Raw genomic sequence first — 20,150 nt, forward strand, 5'->3', positions numbered from 1 at the left:
TTTGGCACTACGTAAGAGTCTCTTTTGCATGTGGACATCTAATTTTCCCAGCACAATTTATTGAAAAAAACTGTCCCTTCCTAAATAGATAGTCTCATTGCTCTTGACAAAAATCACTTGATATGAGGGTTTATTTCTGGGCTTTTCATTCTGTTCCATTGGTCTGTGTGTCTGTCTTTATGCCAGTACCATACTGTTTTGATTACTGTAGCTTTGTAGTAAGTTTTGAAATCAGGAAGTGTGAGTCCTTCAGCTTTGTTATTATTCAAAGTTGTTTTGACTACTCAAGGTCCCTTGAGATTCCATATGAATCTTAGGATGATGTTTCTATTTCTGCAAAAACATCATTGGGATTTTGATAGGGATTGCACCAAATATGTAGATCCTTTAATTCTTTAAGCATGAATTCCTTTAATTCTTTGAATATAGTTACAGTGGATGCTTGAAATCTTCATTGGCTAAATATGACTTGAGGCCTTTTGCAGGCAGTTTCTCTTGCCTGTGTTCCCCCTTCATGTATGCATACTTTCTTGTTCCTTTGCATGATTCATAATTTTTTGTTGAAACTGTATATTTTTGGTAATATATGGTAGCCACTCTAGATACCGATCTTCCACCCGTCTTTGTAGCTTGCTTTTGTTATTTTTTACTTCTTTATTCCTGACTTGGCTAGACTATTTAATTTAGTCTATTATCCCACAGCACGAAGCCTCTGTCTTTCCTCAGAGGCTGTATGTAGCCTTGGATATGTGCACATTCACACCCTGGGATAACAGTGGTTTTAGCAGAGCCATTTGACTGTTGCTTTTCCTGATCTATTTGTAAAAGTATCTACTTCTGCTGGTATCACAGCCAGTGTTAGGCTCCACAAATTGTCATCTGATTGCTTTATTGTTTTTGATCATGTGATGGGGAATACATTGTGCCACAGTCTGATCCAATTAAATTTGGGCAGGAGTATTTTTGAGGCCAGTCTTTGAGGTTTGTTTTGACCCCAGGAGGATTTTCCTTAGCTGTCTTTTTCCACGGTATTCTGCTGTTATTGGGTGAAGGGTTTTATAAATATCAATTAAGTTGGATGAAAGTATTGTCCAAGTCTCCTATATTCTTACTAATTTTCTGTCTACTTATTTTTCAACTACTGAGACAGGGATGTTGAAATCTTTGGCTGCAATTACAGATTTGTCTATTCCTCCTTTCAGTTCTATCAGGTCTTGCTTTATGTATTTTGAGGCTCTGTCATTAGATATATAAGCTTTTAGGACTGTTATGTTATCTTGATGAACTGACATCTTTGTCATTTTCAAATGACCCTCTTTATCCCTGTTAATGTTTTTGCTCTAATATCTACTTTGTCTGCTATTAATATAGAATTGGAGCTTTAATTTTTTTTTTTTTTTTTTTTGAGATGGAGCCTTGCTATGTCGCCAGGCTGGAGTGCAGTGGTGTGATCTCGGCTCACTGCAAGCTCTGCCTCCTGGGTTCACACCATTCTCCCGCCTCAGCCTCCTTTGAGTAGCTGGGATTACAGGCACGTGCCACCAGGCCCAGCTAATTTTTGTATTTTTGGTAAAGACGGGGTTTCACCATGTTGGCCAGGATGGTCTCAATCTCCTGACCTCGTGATCTGCCTGCCTCGGCCTCCCAAAGTGCTGGGATTACAGGCGTGAGCCACTGTGCCCGGCCGGATCTTTAAAAATTTAATCAGACAATCTCTGCCCTTTAATTTAGATGCTTAGACCAATTGCATTAAAAATGACCAGGGACATAGTTGGATTTAAATATTTCATCTGGCTGTTTGTTTTCTATTGTTCCATCTGTTATTTGTTCCTCTTTTAATCTACCTTTAATTAATGTAATACCACCTCACCTATAGTATATAAATGTCGCAACAATGCCCTTTCACTTCCCCTCATCTGGGTTTTGAGCTATTGTTGTTATATATTGTAATTCCACATCTGTTAAAATTCTATAATACCTTATTACTTTTGCTTCCAATAGTCAACTATGCCATATATTCCTTCCTTTAAAAAAATTATTAGCTTCCTATTGGCCACATCCAAGCTATGTTTTAAAAGGTTTAAAAATTAGAGTAAAAATATTTTATATTTATTCACATATTCACCATTTCTAGGGCTCTTTATTGCCTGGTATAGATAGGTATTTTCTTCTGATAACATTTTTCTTCCACCTGAAGGACTTCTTTTAACATTCTTATAGATCTGGACTGTTGGTAATAAAATCTTTCAAATTTTGTATGTCTGAAAATATTTTTATTTAACTTCAGTATTGAGAGGTATTTTGCTTAGTATAGAATTCTGACAGTTTAATTTTCCTTTTACCATTTTGAAGATATTGCGCTACTGTCTTCTGGCTTGCATTGTTTCTGACAATGACTGCTGTCATTCTTGTTTGTTCCTCTGTATATAACGTGTCTTTTTCTATGATTGCTTTTAAGATGTTCTCTTTACCGCTGATTAAAGCAATAGTATTATAATATGCCTTGGTGTAGCTGTCTTCATGTTCTTCTGCTTGGGCTTTGTTGAGATTCTTGGATCTATGATTTTGTAGCTGTCTTCTTGTTCTTCTGCTTGGGCTTTGTTGAGGTTTTTGGATCTATGATTTTGTAGGTTTTTTTAAGTGTAGAAAAATTTTGATCATTTTTTTTCTGTCCATTGCTTCTTTTCCTGAGATTCTAGTTGTACCTATATTAGGCTACTTGAAGTCCCAAAGCTCACTGATATTTTATTTATTTATATTTTTGTGTATTTTATTTTGGTTAATGTATATTGCTATGGTATCAAGTTTACTAATATTTTCTGCTGTAGGTTCTAGTCTGCTATTAATTCCATCTAATATATTTGAAATTTGTTTTAAATTTTGAAATAATCTTAGATTGGCAGAAGAGTTCTAAAGATAGGATGTAGATTTCCTGAATAACTTTCAACCAACTTCTCCTAATGTGAACATCTTATATAGCCATGAAATGTTCATCAAAACTCAGAAATTAGCAGTGACACAACTAAACATAATTGGCACTATTAACTAAACATAATTGGCACTATTAATTAAACTACAGGCTTTATTCAAATTTTCCCAGTTTTCCCACAAATATCCTTTTTCTGTTCCTGGATCCAATCCAGGATATCATGTTGCATTCATCCATTTGATTTTTTTTTAATCTCAAAAATTGTATTTTTTTATTTTTAAAAGTTTTATTTGGGTCTTTAAAAATCTTCTGTGTCTTTCTTTAATATGTGAGGCTTGCTTTTAACAATATACCATGTCTTGTGTATATATATGTAAATGTGTATGTACACATATATACATATGTGTATACATATATACACATATGTATATGCACATATATAATATATGTATACATATATATACACACATATATACATATATATACACACACACACACACACACACATACACATATATATATATACATAGAGAGAGAGAGAGAGAGAGAGATTGAGAGAGAGAGAATGGAGTTTCACTCTTGGTGCCCAGGCTGGAGTGCAGTGGCGTGATCTCGACTCACTGCAACCTCCGGCTCCCAGGTTCAAGCGATTCTCCTCAGCCTCCCAAGTAACTGGAACCACAGGCATGCACCACCACACCGAGCTAATTTTTGTATTTTTAGTAGAGACGGGGTTTCACCATGCTGGTCAGGCTGGTCTCAAACTCCTGACCTCAGGTGATCCACCTGCCTCGGCCTCCCAAAGTGCTGGGATTACAGGTGTGGGTCACCGCGCCCGACCGTAGATATTTTTATATAATTGTTTCTTTGTAAGTTATATGTAATATTCTATTGTGTGAATATATTATAGCTTATTTGAGTATTTCCTGTTGTTAGACATTTAGGTTGTATCTCATGTTTTCTTTGGCCATGCAAACAATGCTGCAAATCATATCATTTTACATGACTCTTTGGCACATGTACAGATACTTCTCTAGGATAGATATTTTGACAGGAAGTTATTGGATTGAAGGTATGTTTATTTAAATTGTTGAAAGATGCCCTAAATTGCCCTCAGAAATGTTGTCTTAATTTAAATCTCCACCAAGAATATAACAGTACCCATTTCTCCATATCCTGACTGATACTGGGTGTTATCAGTCTTTTATTTTTTATTTTTAAGTTAAAATTAAATTAAATTAAACTTTTAAAGAGATGGAATTTTGCTTTGTTGCCCAGGCTGTAGCGCAGTGGTGCAATCATAGCTCACTGTAACCTTGAACTCTTGGGCGTGAGTGATCCGCATGTCTCAGCTTCCCGAGTAAGCAGGACTACAGGAGCATGCCAGCGCACCCTGATGATTATTTTAATTTTTTTTTAGAGATGGAGTCTTGTTATTTGCCTAGGCTGGTCTTGAATGCCTGATCTCAAGTGATCCTCCCCCTTCAGCCTCCCAAAGTTCAGGGATTACAGGCTTGAGCCACCTCACCTGGCCTCAGTCTTTTAAATTTTGTATTACAATGGGTGAAAAAGGATATCTTGCTGTTTTATTTTACATTTCCCTGATCACTAAAAATGTTAATAATAATTCTATTTGTCATTTTTTGCCATTAAAATTTTTTTCTGTTGATTATCTCTTCATATTTTATGCTCATTTTTCTAATTTTGAAAATAATGATTTCTAGAAATTCTTTATATAGTCTCTATAGTATTTCTTTGTGTATTATATATGTGGCAAACATTTTATGTCAGTTACCTTTTTTATTTGTGTATGATATCTTTTGTTACATAGAAGTTTAATTATTTGGGGTAGCAAATTTCTTTTTCGTTGTCTCTTGTGTAATATCCCCAAGGTTTTAAGTACATTCGCCTTTCTGTATTTTCTTCTAATGATTTAAAAGTTTTACTTTTCAATTTAACTTTTATTTTATCTGGAATTTACTTATTGAGTGAGTGAGGTAGGATAAGTAAACTTATTTACTTGCCACAATAAAATTTATTATGGAGGTCATTCTTTTCTCATTGATTTAAAAAATGCCACCTTTCTCATATACGAATTTCTCACAAATTTATTAGTCTCTTTCTGGACCTAGTGTTATGTTCTAAAGAAATTTTATTGTCTTTCTGTCCTCATGTCACACTGTTTTAATTACTATGGCTTTATAGTGATTTGTAGCTTTATGTTGATATCTGCTAGGCGAAATCCTCTCTTACCAGCCTTTTTCAATCATTTTTTGGCTATTCTTGCACATTTTCTTTTCCAGATAAATTTTGCAATCAGCTTGTCACATTTCACAAAAATTCTCCTGGGATTTTGCTTGTAATTTATTGGCTAATTTGGGATGGAATTGACATCCCTACAAAATCAAGTTTTCTCATCCAAGAACATTGTTTTTTGTCTTTCCATCAATTCGGGTCTTTACTTTGTCATAACCATATGGCTCCTCTCCTTTTAATATGTTAATAAAGTGATTTATATTAATGTGTTTTTTTTCCTAATGTTGAATTATCTTTGTATTTCTGGGATAAACCGTTCTTCTTCCTTATGTTTTTTATTCTTGTCATGCATGGATGCTGGATTGATTTCAGGTGAGCTGATCTGCTTCAGCTCCTGGGCTCCCCCTGGTGGCCATCAGGCCCTTCTCTGTGACCTTTGGGGATGGGGTTTGAAATAGCTGTGAAATCCTGGACTCCAGGGCTCAGGCAGCAGGATCACAGATCTAGGAATCTGGTAGACATAAAATCTGCGTGCCCGAGTTATGTAACCATCTGTTTTGCCTCCTTGGGTTCTGTTAGTTTCTCTTTGCTAGGAGACCCTGAGGAAAGAGATCATATCTGTGTTAAAAGAATCTACCCTCTCAGAATCCAACAGTCCATTCACTGACCTGTCCCTTTCTCTAAGCTTTATAATTACCTTTATGTCATTTTCAATGAAGGGAAACCCTCAAATATAGTTTCACTTTTACGAATCTGGATGGCTTTTCATATCAGTAAACTTATAAATCAGAAATTATGTCCCAAATTTGGTCCAGAAAGTAAAATCTTGCATCTCTGGTATTTTGACAGGGATTGCATTTAATATGTAAGTCGCTTTGGTAGTATGGTCATTTTCACAATATTCTTTCCATCCACGAGCATGAGTTTTTTTTCTATTTTTTGTGTGTCCTCTTCAATTTATTTCTTCAATAGTTTAATAGTTTTCCTTGCAGAGATCTTTCATCTTCTTGGCTAAATTTATTCCTAGGTATTTTAGAAAATAAATTCTTAACAGTACTGAAAAGCAAGAAAAAGTGCTATCAGCCAACAAGAAATGTTCAGGAATTCCTGAAAAATGGTAAGCAGATGAGGTTGAATTGTTGGAAGAAACCACAGCCAAACAAAGTAAGGAAGGGATTACTGCAATAAGGGGAGTGGTTCTGGAGGCGTTCTTAGTTCAGAGGCAACAGTTACAAGGAAAAGAAGGAGGCAACCATCTCGATGACTGGTTAGGGGCTCTAACTGGCAGCAAGTGGGCAGGTTGAAGCAGTGAGCATCAGAGATATTGGCCCTTAAGCGGAGTCAGTCATTGCCAATGCTTGAACTTGAAACTCAGAGAAATCTCTGAAGGAATGAGGAGCACAGACAATATCCTCCCATTATAATTTCTGGAGATAGTCAATGAAAACCACATCCACAGACAGGCCAATATGGAATCTTAAATAAAAAGATAAGCCTGACAATAAGAATAAGCACACGCTGAAGGAAAACTAACATCATAAAAGTGAGAAACCAAACCCAACAAAGAGAAACTAACATTGAAGAAAACCATGAATAAAGTAAATGAGACTTTGAAAGAAGTGTGATTTATACCATTGGAAGGACAAGAAAGGATTTTTCATCCATGGAACAATAACAAGTTTATATGAAAACAAAAACCAATTAGAGATTCTGTTGATTGTTGAAATAAAGACAAAAACAAACAAACAAAAAACCTCAGTGAATTAGTTCCTCTAATGATAATATGCCCCTCAAATGTGTTCATTTATATATATATACACATATATATATACATATATATATATATGTATATATGACAAATGTGTTTATTTGAGGAGCAGATTATCAAGCCAGAAGGTCAAGTTGAAGAATACTCCCAAATGTGATATAAAAGGGCAAATATATGGAAAGAAATATTAGATAATGTGAAAGATATATTCATCATTTCAATCCAGATAATAGAAATTTCAGGTGGATAGAATGGAAAGAATAGAGCCTGGCTCTTGAGTTCTTTATTGTGGGAGATTTGTCTATCACTGCAGCAATACTGTACTGTCTTGATTACAAGAGCTTTAGAATAATTCTTGTTATCTGGTAAAGCAAGTATGCCCACTTTGGTATTCTCTTTACATGAACGCTTTGATGATTTCATACAAATTTTAAAATTAGCTTGACAAATTCTAAAAAAACTTTTCAGAAATTTGATTGGAATTTCTTTGAATCTATAAAGCAATTTTGAGATAACTTATATCTTTATTATATTGAGTCTTCCAGTCTATAAACATGGTATATTGCTCCATTTACTTTCATTTTCTTTAAATGTATATCATTAAATTAAAAAAATTTTCTCATTAAAGGTTCTACACATTTGTTATTTTTGGAACTGCTGTTTTATATATTTTAATGTTATTGTAAATGGGATCAGTTTTAGAAATAACATTTTCAGTGTTTATTGTTGTTACATTGGAATGCAATTAATTTTTGTTATTTTCGTTTACTGATTTTAAGGCCTGGAATATTGCTCCACTGTCACATTAATTGTAGTAATTTATCTATAGTTTATTTTGGATATTCTTGTAGACAAACATCATCTGCAAATAATGACAGTTTTGTTTCTTCTTTTTCAATCCTTATTCCTTTTTACATATTTTATTATGCCTCTGTGCTGGCTAAGATCTTTGAGAATAATGTTGAAAAGAAGTAGTAAAAGCAGCCATCTTTGTCTTGCTTTTTTTTTTTTTTGTGACGGAGTCTCTGTCACCCAGGCTGGAGTGCAATGGTGTGATCTCGGCTCAATGCAACCTCTGCCTCCCGTGTTCAAGTGATTCTTCTGCCCCAGCCTCCTGAGTAGCTGGGACTGCAGGCACGTGCCATCATACATGGCTAATTTTTGTATTTTTAGTAGAGCCGGGTTTCACCATGTTGGCCAGGGTGGTCTCAAACTCTTGACCTCAGGTGATCCACCTGCCTCAGCCTCCCAAAGTGCTGGGATTACAGGTTTGTCTTGCTCTTGATCTTTAATGCTTTCAAGTATCTTTTATTTATTTATTTATTTATTTATTTATTTATTTATTTATTTATTTATTTGACACAGGGTCTTGCTCTTTCACCCAGGCTGGAGTACAGTGGCATGATCATGGTTCATTGTAGCTTTGATTTCCCGGGCTCAAGTGATCCTCCTGTCTCAGCTTCCTGAGTAGCAGCAGGGACTACAGACACACACTATCAAGCCCCAATAATTAAAAAAAAAATGTTTTTGGTAGAGACAGGGTCTCATCATGTTGTTCAGGCTGGTCTTGAACTCCTGGGCTCAAGGGATTCTTCCATCTTAGCCTCCCAAAGTGCTGGGATTACAGGCATGAGCCAGCATGCCCAGCTGCAAATATCAATATTAAGAATGATGTTTGATTTTAGATATTCTTTATTGGATTAAGAAAGTTTCTTTCTATTCCTAATTTGCTAAGCATTTTTTACAAATGTAATTTAATTGTTAAGTTAAAATTTATTTTTAATAGTCTGTTCATTTTTGCGGCACAATATTCAAAAGGCAGAAAAGGATATGTAGACAAACTCTCCCTTCCACTCATGTCACCTCATAACCTAGTTCTCTGCTCTGGACACTGTAACGAGGGTCATCTCACACACACACACACACACACACACACACACACACATTCCCCCTTTATTTTTCACCCAAATGAAGACATAATATATTACTGTTCTTCATTTGGTTTTTTTTCTCTAAGAGTTTTAAAATCAAAAATGAATGTTAAATTTTGTCCAATAGTCTTCACATCTATTGGGATGATAATATAGTCTTTCTTCTTTATTGTTTTAATATGATGAATTATGTCAATTGATTTTCTAATGGTAAATCACCCTTGTATTACCAGAAGAAATCTGGCTTTGTCATGATTTAGAAGGTTTTCCATACACGCCTGGATTTAATTTGTTAATATGTTTTCAGGATTTACATATATATTCATAAAGGATGTTGTGTCATAATTTTCCTTTTCTATAGGGTCTGGTCAGGTTTTGGTTTCAAGGTTATGCTAGCTTATAATATTTTTCTATACTGGGATAGTTTGTGCAAGTTGGACCTATTTGCAACTAGTCTTCACCTTGTGGGAGGATTTTAACTACTGACAATTTTTTAAATGGTTATAAGTTTTCTATCATATCACAAATCAGTTTAGGCAAATTACGTATTTTTAGGACTTTTTCTACTTCATCTAGGTTTTCAAGTTAATTTGTTATATTTTCTTTTTTGTTTTTTTTGGGAACAGCTTTATTAGATATACCATACAATTCAGCCATTTTAAGTGTACAATTCAGGGCTGGTCGCAGTGGGTCACACCTGTAATCCCAGCACTTTGGAAGGCTGAGGTGGGCAGATCACCTGAGATCAGGAGTTCGAGACCAGCCTGGCCAACATGGTGAAACCCTGTCTCTATGAAAAACACAAAAATTAGCCAGGCATGGTGGTCTGTAATCCCAGCTCAGGAGGCTGAGGGGGGAAAAATCACATGAATCGGGCAGGCGGAGGTTGCAGTGAGCCAAGACTGCGCCATTGCACTCCAACCTGGGCAACAGAGTGAGACCCTGTCTCAAAAACAAACAAACAAACAAACAAATAAATAAAGAGTGTAATTCATAGGCTTTTAGCATATACACAGAGTCGAACTGCCATCACCACAAGCAATTTTAGAACATTTTCATCACCTCAAAAAGAAATCTGGTACCCTGTAGCTATCCTCCTGTGCCCCCATCCTCCAATCCCTAAGCAACCACTAACCTACTTTCTGATCCTACAAATTTGCCTATTCTTCACGTTTCATATAAATGTAATCATATAATATATGATTTTTTGTAACTGATTTTCTACTTAGCATGCTGTTTTTAAGGTTCATCTATGTTCTAGCATGTATCAATACTTCATTCCTTTTATGGCTGAATAATGTTTCATTGTCCGGCTATACTACATTTTATTTATCTATTTATCAGTTGATAGATATCTGGGTTGTCTCCACCTTTTAGCAATTACAAATAGTGCTGCTATAAATATTTGTGTACAAGTCTTTGTGTGAACATAGATTTTCATTTTTCATTTCTCTTGGTGTATATCTAGGAGTGGAATTGTTGGGCCATGTGGTAACTCTATGTTTAACCTTTTGAGGAACTGCCAGGCTGTTTTCCAAAGCAGCTGCACAATTTTACATTCCCACCAGGAGAGTATGAGGTTTCTGACTTGTCCACATCCTTGTGAATACTTACTACTACCTGACTTTTTGATTTTAGTCATCCTAATGGGTGTGAAGTGGTATCTCATTGTGGCTTTGATTTGCAACCAGATGCTTAATGACGTTGAACATCTTATCATGTGCTTATTGGTCATTTTTATATCTTCTTTGAAGAAATGTCTATTCAAGTTCTTTGCCTATTTTTAAGTTGGGTTGTTTGTCTTCTTATTAATGAGTTGTAAGAGTTATATATTCTACATATAAGCCCCTTATCAGATATATTATTTGCAAATATTTTCTTCCATTCTTTGAATTCTCTTCTCACTTTTTTTTTTTTTTTTTTTTTGAGACAGAGTCTCACTCTGTTGCCCAGGCTGGAGTGCAGTGGCACAATCTTGGCTGACTGCAATCTCCACCTGCCGGGTTCAAGCGATTCTTGTGCCTCAGCCTCCCAAGTAGCTGGGATTACAGGCACATGCCACCTCGCCTGGCTAATTTTTGTATTTTTAGTAGAGATGGGATTTCACCATGTTGCCCAGGCTGGTCTTGAATTCCTGACCTTCAGCCTCCCAGAATATCCCTTCCTGGGATTACAGACGTGAGCCACCATGCCCGGCCTCTTCTCACTTCTTAATGGTGTATTTGGAGCACAAAACTTTATTTTATTTTTATTTTTATTTATTTATTTATTTTTTGAGACAGAGTCTCGCTCTTTCGCCCAGGCCGGAGTGCAGTGGCACTATCTCGGCTCACTGCAAGCTCCGCCTCCCGGGTTCATGCCATTCCTCTGCCTCAGCCTCCCGAGTAGCTGGGACTACAGGCCCACGCCACCGCGCCCGGCTAATTTTTTGTATTTTTAGTAGAGACGGGGTTTCACCGTGTTAGCCAGGATGGTCTCGACCTCCTGACCTCGTGATCTGCCTGCCTCGGCCTCCGAAAGTGCTGGGATTACAGGCGTGAGCCACAGCGCCCGGCCAAAACTTTATTTTTAATGAAGTCCAATTTATCTAGTTTTTCTTTTATTGCTTGTGTATTTGCTATCATATTTAAGATTCCATTGCCAAAGTCAAGAGCATAAAGATGTATGCTTATGTTTTATTCCCAGAATTTTATAGTTTTAGCTATTACATTTAGATCTTCGATCTATTTTTGTATTTGGCGTATGGTAAGTGTCCAACTTTATTCTTTGCATTTGGATATCCAGGTGTCCAAGCACCATTTGTTGAAAACACTATTCTTTTTCCATTAAATGTTCTTGGTATCTGCTTCTAATTTTTTGCAGAGTTTGTGAAACATTCATATTAATGCTTTAAATGTTTGGTAAAATTCACCAGTGAAGCTATGTGGGCCTGTGCTTTTCTTTGTAGGGTAGTTTTTAAAATTACTAATCTAATCTCTTTATAGGTCTATTTAGATTTTTAATTTATTCTTGAGTCAGTTTTGGTAATTTCTGCCTTCCTAGAAAGTTGTCCATTTCATCTAAGTTATCTATTTTTTTGGCACACATTTGTTATAGTGTTTTTTATAATTTTTTTTTTATATGTGTAAGATTGGTAGTGATGTCTCTCATTTCTGGTTCTAGTAATTTGAGTCTTTTCTCTTTTTTTTCTTGGTTAATCTAGCTAAAGATTTGAAATTTAGTTGACTTTTTAAAATATCCAACTTGGCGGGGCACGGTGACTCACGCCTGTAACCCCAGCACTTTGGGAGGCTGAGGTCAGGAGTTTGAGACCAGCCTGGCCAATATGGCAAAACCCCGTCTCTACTAATAATACAAAAATTAGCTGGGCATGGTCGTGTAGGCCTATAGTCCCAGCTCCTCAGGAGGCTGAGGTGGGAGGATTACTTGAGCCTGGGAGGTGGAGGTTACAGTAAACCGAGATTGTGCCACTGTGCTCCAGCCTGGGTGACAGAGTGAGACCCTGTCTCAAAAAAAAAAAAAAAAAAAGAAAGAAAAGAAAAAAAATCCAACTTGTGGTTTTGTTAATTTTCTCTAGTTTTTCTATTCTCTATTTCATTAGTTTCTACTCCAATGTTTGTTATTTCCTTACTTCCTCTTGCTGTATCTTTTCATTTGTTTTAAAATATATGAAGTATCTGTGATATCCTTTTTAAAAATTTTTATTTGTGCTTTCACTGTTTTTGTTTCTTTCCTTTCCTTTTTTATTTTATTTTATTTATTTTCTTCCTTTTGAGACAGGGTCTTGCTCTCTCACCCAGGCTGTAGTGCAGTGGCATGATCACAGTTCACTGCAAACTCAAACTCCTGGGCTTAAATGATCCTCCTGCCCCTGCCTCCCTAGTAGTTGAGACAGCAGGCAGGTGCCACCATGCCTGGCTAATTAAAAAAAATTTTTTTTTAAATTTTTTGTGAAGATGGGGTTTCACTATGTTGCCTAGGCTGGTCTTGAACTATTGGGCTCAGGTGATTCTCCCACCTCTATCTCCCAAGATGCTGGTATTATCAGTGTGAGCCACTGTGCCTGGTTTCTTTTTGTTTCTTAATAAATATTTCCCAAACTTTCTTAATTCTATTAGGCTTTTCAAAGAATCAATTTTTGGTTCTGTTAACTACCCTTATTTTAATTATTTCCTTTCTTTTATTTTCCTGTATTTATTCTGTTGGTCTTTTTTCAATTTTTAAACTCATTAAATCCTAGACTTTCTTTTTTCCTAATATAAATGGTCATTTCATTTAATTTTAATTTTATGAGCTTTGACATATAGTATTTTGTTTCTGTCAGGTTCCAAGTAATTTCTAATTTCCATTATTACTTCTTTTAATTATTTCAGAAGTATTTTTCTTAATTTCTCAATGAATAATATTTTTGTGTAAACCTTTTAATTTTTAAAATTGATTTTAGCTGAATTTCTAATGTAATTTCCTTGTGGTCAGAGAATGTGGTTTGTATGATATCCATCCTTAAAAAGTTTTTTCTTTTTGTTATTGGTTACAGCAGCAACAGGAAAAAACATTTTTATTCTTGCTTTACGACTTGCTCTCTGGTCATTTTTCATAAACATATTCTGTGTGCTTGAAAATCGATCGTGTGTCTTGTTTGTTGAGAGTAATGTTCCTGTATATGTTCATTTTATCAAACTTTATAATTAATTTGTTTAAATCTAAATATCTGCTGACTTTTTGGCTCTGAATTACTTAAAGATATGTGCTAGAATTTTTTTATTCATTGTGAATTTGTCAAATTCTCCTGATAGTTCTAGAAGTGTTTGCTTTACATATTTTGAGACTATGTTTTAGGTGCATATGAGACTAGAATTGGTATATCTTCCTGGTGGAAATTATCTTTTATATTTACATACAGACTCTCTTTATCTCATTTGGCCTTAAAATTTACTTGGTTTATTATTAATATAATTATACTAGTTTTCTTTTCATTAGTATTTGCCTTATATTTCTTTTTTCTTTTTCTTTCTTTCTTTTCTTTTCTTTTTTCTTCCTTTTGAGACAGAGTCTTGCTCTGTCATCCAGACTGGAGTACAGTGGCAGGAAGATGGCTCACTGCAGCCTTGACCGCCTGGGTTCAAGCAACCTTCCCACCTCAGCCTCCTGAGTAGCTGGGACTCTGAATGGCATATGCCATTATGCCTGGCTAATTAAAAAAAATTTTTTTTGTAGAGACAGGGTCTTGGCATGTTGCCCAGTCTGGTCTCAAACTGCTGGTCTCAAACTCCTGGCCTCAAGTGATCTTCCTGTCTCAGATTCCCAAAGTGCTAGGATTACAGGCACGAGCCACTGCACTCAGCCTACATTATATATCTTTTGTATCCTTTTGCTTTCCACTTTTCTTTAACTAGTCTTGTGTTTCAGACTTTTCTAGTACATAGCACATAGGCTTAAAATTTTTTTTTTGGCCAGGTGCAGTGGCTCACGCCTGTAATCCCAGCACTTTGGGAGGTTGAGGCAGGCAGATCGCTTGAGCCCAGGAGTTCGAGACCAGCCTGGACAACATGGTGAAACCCTATCTACACACACACACACACACACACACACACACACACACACACACACACACATCCAGGCACGGTGGCACACACCTGCAGTCCCAGCTATTTGGGGGACTGAGGTGGGAGGATTGCTTGAGCCTGGGAGGTCAAGGCTGCAGTGAGCTGTGATTGTGCCCCTGCACTTAGCCTGGGTGACACAGCAAGACCCTGTCTCAAGAAAAAAAAATTTTTTTAATATGGGTATAAAGAGAGAGAGAAGTGAGGCCCAAGGAGGGTCATGTCAAGCTTCTAGAAACCGGGAGACTCATGACATTGGGTACTGAGACAAAACATCAACCTCAAAACATCCTACTCCACCTCTCCCTGACTCTAATTCCTCTCTCTTCTCTGGGGACCTCATTCTGTGAGTCCTGACCCTCTCCTCTGGTGACTCTACTGAGAATATAAAGCTCAATCTTCTTGCACCTTTAAAGTAAAAATCTTCTTTGGCATAATTCTCTCCTTCAGCTGCTGCCTCATCTCTCTCTTCGCCTGCACTGGCAAGTTCCTCAAAAAGTTACTCCTGCCTGTTTTACCACACGGTTGCCCAATCCAGATACATAGGAATTATGCTTGGCTCCTGCTTCCCCTCAGTTCTCCTCATCAAATGACTCAGAAAGTCTTTTTAATTCCCTCTCAAAAATAGATATGGATTTGAAATCTGTTCCACCTGCTGCTGTCTCTGCCACTGCTGTGACATGGGTACCCATCATCTCTTGCCCGGACCTCTGAACCTCCTCCTGGGAATGGATTTCTGATCTTTTCACAAGCTGACAGTGATCCTCTTCTCCTCTTGGAGTCCTCCCACCCTTACCTGTTCCCCAACCAAAGCTTTCTGGGATTTGCTGAGGTTTGGGAACTCCAAGTCCTTCAATTTGAGTTACACGGGACACCCACACACTCTCCAACTCCCATAGCTCCAGCTCCTGAGATTAGGCCAGAGAAGTGACTCATTTTCACTGGGTACTGTCCCCAGAAATGCTCTGCCACCATGGCACTTTAGGGTCTGATGCTGGAGGCTGGCATGCTGAGCTCTGGGGACAGCCTCCCAGCAGCCCAATTAGTCTGGGTTAACTGAAACTTGCTATTGGCAGTCTCCATAATCAGACAGGTTTCCTGCTGGGAGGCAATCCCTTGGGTGTCCCTGACTGTCCCAGGTGTTTTTCCTACCCTTAAGGAGGCATGGAATTGGATTATGTGACTCAGTATCCCAAGAAGTTCCTTGTTCTTGACTCCATAGAAATAATGATATTGCTGGCCATGTGGGTGGCTCATGCCTTTAATACTAGCACTTTGGGAGGCCAAGGTGGGTGATTCACCTGAGTCAGGAGACCGAGACCAGCCGGGCCAACCATAGTGAAACCCCATCTCTACTAAAAATACAAAAAAAGTCAGCCAGGTGTGGTGGCAGGTGCCTGTAATCCCAGCTACTTGGGAGGCTGAGGCACGAAAATCACTTGAACCCGGGAGGCAGAGGTTGCAGTGAGCCAAGATCGCGCCACTGCACTCCAGCCTGGAGGACAGAGTGAGACTCCATCTAAAAAAAAAAAAAAAGAAATAATAATATTGCCCTAATGTGGGATGGAGAACAGACCTCAGAGTCCTCAACCAGAGGAAAGAAAGGGGAGTGTTACTTTTCCTCTACTTTTGGGTTTCTCAGCAGATGCACTACTGATGTTTTGGGCAGGACAAGTCTTCCTCCGATGGGACCATCACACTCATTGAAGGATATTTGTCATGCTTGGATCCTGCACACTAAATACTTACACAGTCATCCTGATAACGCCAAATACCCCCACATATTTCCAAGTATTCTCTAGGAAGGTAGTTATGCCCCAAGCCTAATCCAAATGCACCTAGTGGACATGCACAAGCAAGAAAGTCACTGAGATTACAGTGTGCTGAAATCATCTGATGATTTTTAGGCTTGTTTTGTCCACAGGACCTAGACCTTCTACTCTCTGAGATCAGTGACTACGTTTGATTCATCTAGGTGTGAGGTGTGCCACTATTCAGTAGAAATACAACGCAAGCAACAGAACTTAAAATTTTCTAGTAGCCACACTAGAAAAGTAAAACAAAACAGTTGAAATGAATTTCAATAACATTTTATTTCACTCACTATATAAAAAATACGATTATTTTAACATGTAGACAAGATTTAAAAGTTACTGATGACATATTTTACATTCTTTTGTGTACTAAGTCTTTGAAACCTGGAGTGTATATTATACTTACAGAAATCTGAACTCAGACTAGCCACATTTCAAGTGCCCAGTGGCTAGTAGGTACCATATTGCACAGCACTAGAAAGCTCTATTCACTTACTTTCTCCCACAGCTATTGCCTACTTTTTTCTCCCAACATTTTTTGTGTGTTTTCTTCTATTTCAAACATATAGAAACGTTGAAACATAGAGAAAAGTTCAAACATATTTCAAACACACAGAAAGGTTGAAATAATTGTACAGTTGAATATACCTAACACTAGTCTCTATAATTAACTACTTGCTACAGTTATCAGATATCAATTTGTCTATCCAACCATCTCTCCATAACATTTTTTGATTATTGTCTACTTTTTAGAAGTGTTTCTTTTTATATGTGTGTAGGACAGGTTGAAAACCCACTCAGGAAATTATTATCTCTTTGAACATTGTTCTACAAAAGCTTAATCAGGAGCTTTTTCAAATTTCAGGGCAAAAGAACTTGAAAGCTTCTCTCCTTTTCCTCTTTATTATCCTCTTATGCCTGTGTCCTGATTTTCCTCTCCTGTGGATTCTCGGAGACATGACTTCTCTTTCCCATCAGAGAGCAAGCTTTCTGAGTGAAGCATCATACTCGGTTACATCTCTCAGCCTAGCACAATATTGTTCTGGGTTAGAGGTAGGCTTTGGGGTCAGACAGGTCTGCACTTGATTCTGGCTCTGTCATTTACTACTGCGTGACCCAGAATGGGTGCTTTATTTATTTATTTGTTATTTTGGGGGACAGAGTCTCACTGTATCCTCCAGGCTGGAGTGCAGTGTCACGATCTCGGCTCACTGCAACCTCTGCTCCCAGGTTCAAGCGATTCTCCTGCCTCAGCCTCCTGAGTAGTTGGGATTACACACCCAGCTATTTTTTTGTATTTTTAGTAGATATGGGGTTTCACCATGTTGGTCAGGCTGGTCTCGAATTCCTGATCTTAGGTGATCCACCCACCTTGGCCTCCCAAAGTGCTGGGATTACAGGGGTGAGCCACCATGCCGGGCAACAGTGAGAGCTTTAACTCTCTAAGCCTCCTATGTAATGTGAGGACAATAGGTTTGTTGTGAGATCTAAAGATACATTTGTAAAGTGTAATTATTCTAGCAATTATTAAAATAGTTGGGGAGGAAAAGGAAAGGAGATTATTGCTTATGAATGACTCCTTTTGTGCTTTCCTTGTGAATATTTAGGTCCCAGAATTTACCCAGTGTGTTGTAATAATTTATATTTCTGTCTCCTGTCCTAGGTAAAAAGCTCTTGGAAGGCATGGATTGTCTTTTTTCTACCCAGCCTCAGCACCAGGCACAGAGTCTAGTTCAACAGATGTTAGTTATATCAATGAATATAATTCTAAGTGTCACAATTATCTTTAGATAATGATTTCAGAAAATTACAGAGACTTGAAAATCCAGAGAGCAATAAATCTTAGACTGCACAGATTCAATCTGTCTCCAGTTCTTCCCTCGTTGTGCATGAGGGCAAACTTAGGCTCAAGAAAGTTCACTATGTTTACTGCATATACATGTCTCAAAGCCCATGGACATGCTGCCCAGGGAAGGCAGGAGAAGCAGTCCCCTTGGATTAATCAGCTCCCACACATCCCCAAGGACAGTGAATCTAGGAGACCTCTTCCACCTGTTGGCATCTTTTTTTTTTTTTTTTGAGACAGAGTCTCGCTCTGTCACCCAGGCTGGAGCACAGTGGCGCGATCTCGGCTCACTGCAACCTCTGCCTCCCGGGTTCAAGCGATTCTCCTGCCTTGGCCTCCTGAGTAGCTGAGACTACAGGCGCACGCCGCCACACCTGGCTAATTTTTTTGTATTTTAGTAGAGATGGGGTTTCATTGTGTCGCCCAGGCTGGTTGCGAACTCCTGAGCTCAGGCAATCCGCCGCCCTTGGCCTGCGAAAGTGCTAGGATTGCAGGCATGAGCCACCGCGCCTGGCTGGCATCTTTAAAATGACACCAATGAAGCTTATGATTCTGGGGTCTAGCTGCTCTCTTCGTTGGTGAATAGGTGGATCACTTTGCAGACCTGTTCTACTTGGTGGGCATGCTTCTGAATATTTTTCTAAAGGTGCTGTAACTTTTGTTGCTTTCATTATTATACAAGTAAAATGTTTATTGTTGCAAGTTTTAGAAATGTAGAAATGCCAAATAAAAAGCAGTCACCTGCAAACTCACTGCTCAGAGGAAGCCCTATAAAGATTGCATCTTGTAGCTCTTCAGACTTCTGTCTGTGCGTGTTTATAGGTGTAACACAAACATTGCCAGCACTAACCACCCTGCATGTACAAATGAGGTCACATTTTCATGAATTCCTAGATTTTGCAGACCACACTCCCCATCCAAATAACATCAGTGCCTCAGTGTATTCACCTCTAGCCCTGTCTTCCTGTAGCCTTCCCCATTTGTTTTTGAAGCTCCCTAGCAGCTGCTGCACACATTTTGCACTTCATGCCTTTCTTCTCTCTCCTTCCCATCATCCTTTGGGGCCAGAAGGAACCAGGCTTCTCCCAGGCCTGGATATCATGGCCTCCATCTACCTTAGAGCTTCAAACTTCGGCTACATGGCTGTCGCATGTGGAATGGAGGAGCTTTCTACGTTATAGGAGATCTGCATGGGCTGGGTCCTCGTTTGGTCCTTGATTCAGTGTGTTGAAAGGGAGAGAAAAAAGAATTTGGAAAATCCTCTTAGGAAACTGGCTTGACTTACAGGGCAAAGTCCAATTTTGAAGGTCAAAGACTGCATGCATATTAAAGTCCTTCTCCTTGCATTCTTTTTGTAATAATTCAACTCTCTCTCCAGACAAATGCTCTGGAACAACTAGGAAGAAACTTACATATTTGGAAAAGTAACTTTAAAGAGCAGGTTATCAGTCTAGGCAACATAGCGAGACCACGTCTCTACAAAGAATAAAAAAGTTAGCCAGACGTGGTGGCACACACCTGGAGTCCCAGCTACTTGGGAGGCTGAGGCGGGAGGATTGTTTGGGAGGAGGTAGAGGCTGCAGTGAGCTCTGATCATGCCACTGCACTCTAGCCTGGGCAACAGAGCAAGATCCTATCTCAAAAAAAGTATATTACTACTTTTCAAAAATATTACCTCTATAGCATATAAGAATTTATTTAACAGATGCTTGTGGCAGGTTGTTTGCAAGTCTCACAGGATCCATATCCCCTGAAGTGCAGCCTGGACTATAATGCGGGCTCCTCCCTTTCAGACACATGGTGTGGTGCTTCGGTTAGTCAGGTCTTCTTTCACAGCTGTCAGTGAAGACTTGCTTTTTCTTTTGTTCATTGGTCTTCCACATCTCTTGTTAAGTTTATTCTTGTTTGTTCTTAGAAGTTTTATAATTTTTGTTTTAAGTTTCAATAATGCCTTCATTCTGTCTTTGAATTAGTAATTACTGTTATGTAGGAAAATCACCGAT

General features: G+C 38.0%; 1 annotated feature.

The window, feature by feature from the left end:
- Positions 18,552 to 19,051: an enhancer, noted in NCBI's record as "H3K4me1 hESC enhancer chr9:35895387-35895886 (GRCh37/hg19 assembly coordinates)". NCBI's record gives its function as "activates a minimal SCP1, AML or CMV promoter by ChIP-STARR-seq in naive H9 embryonic stem cells {active_cell/tissue: H9 hESC(naive)}" and the evidence as "EXISTENCE:reporter gene assay evidence [ECO:0000049][PMID:30033119]".

Source organism: Homo sapiens, chromosome 9 (assembly GCF_000001405.40).
Source record: "Homo sapiens chromosome 9, GRCh38.p14 Primary Assembly".
NCBI lineage: Eukaryota > Metazoa > Chordata > Mammalia > Primates > Hominidae > Homo > Homo sapiens.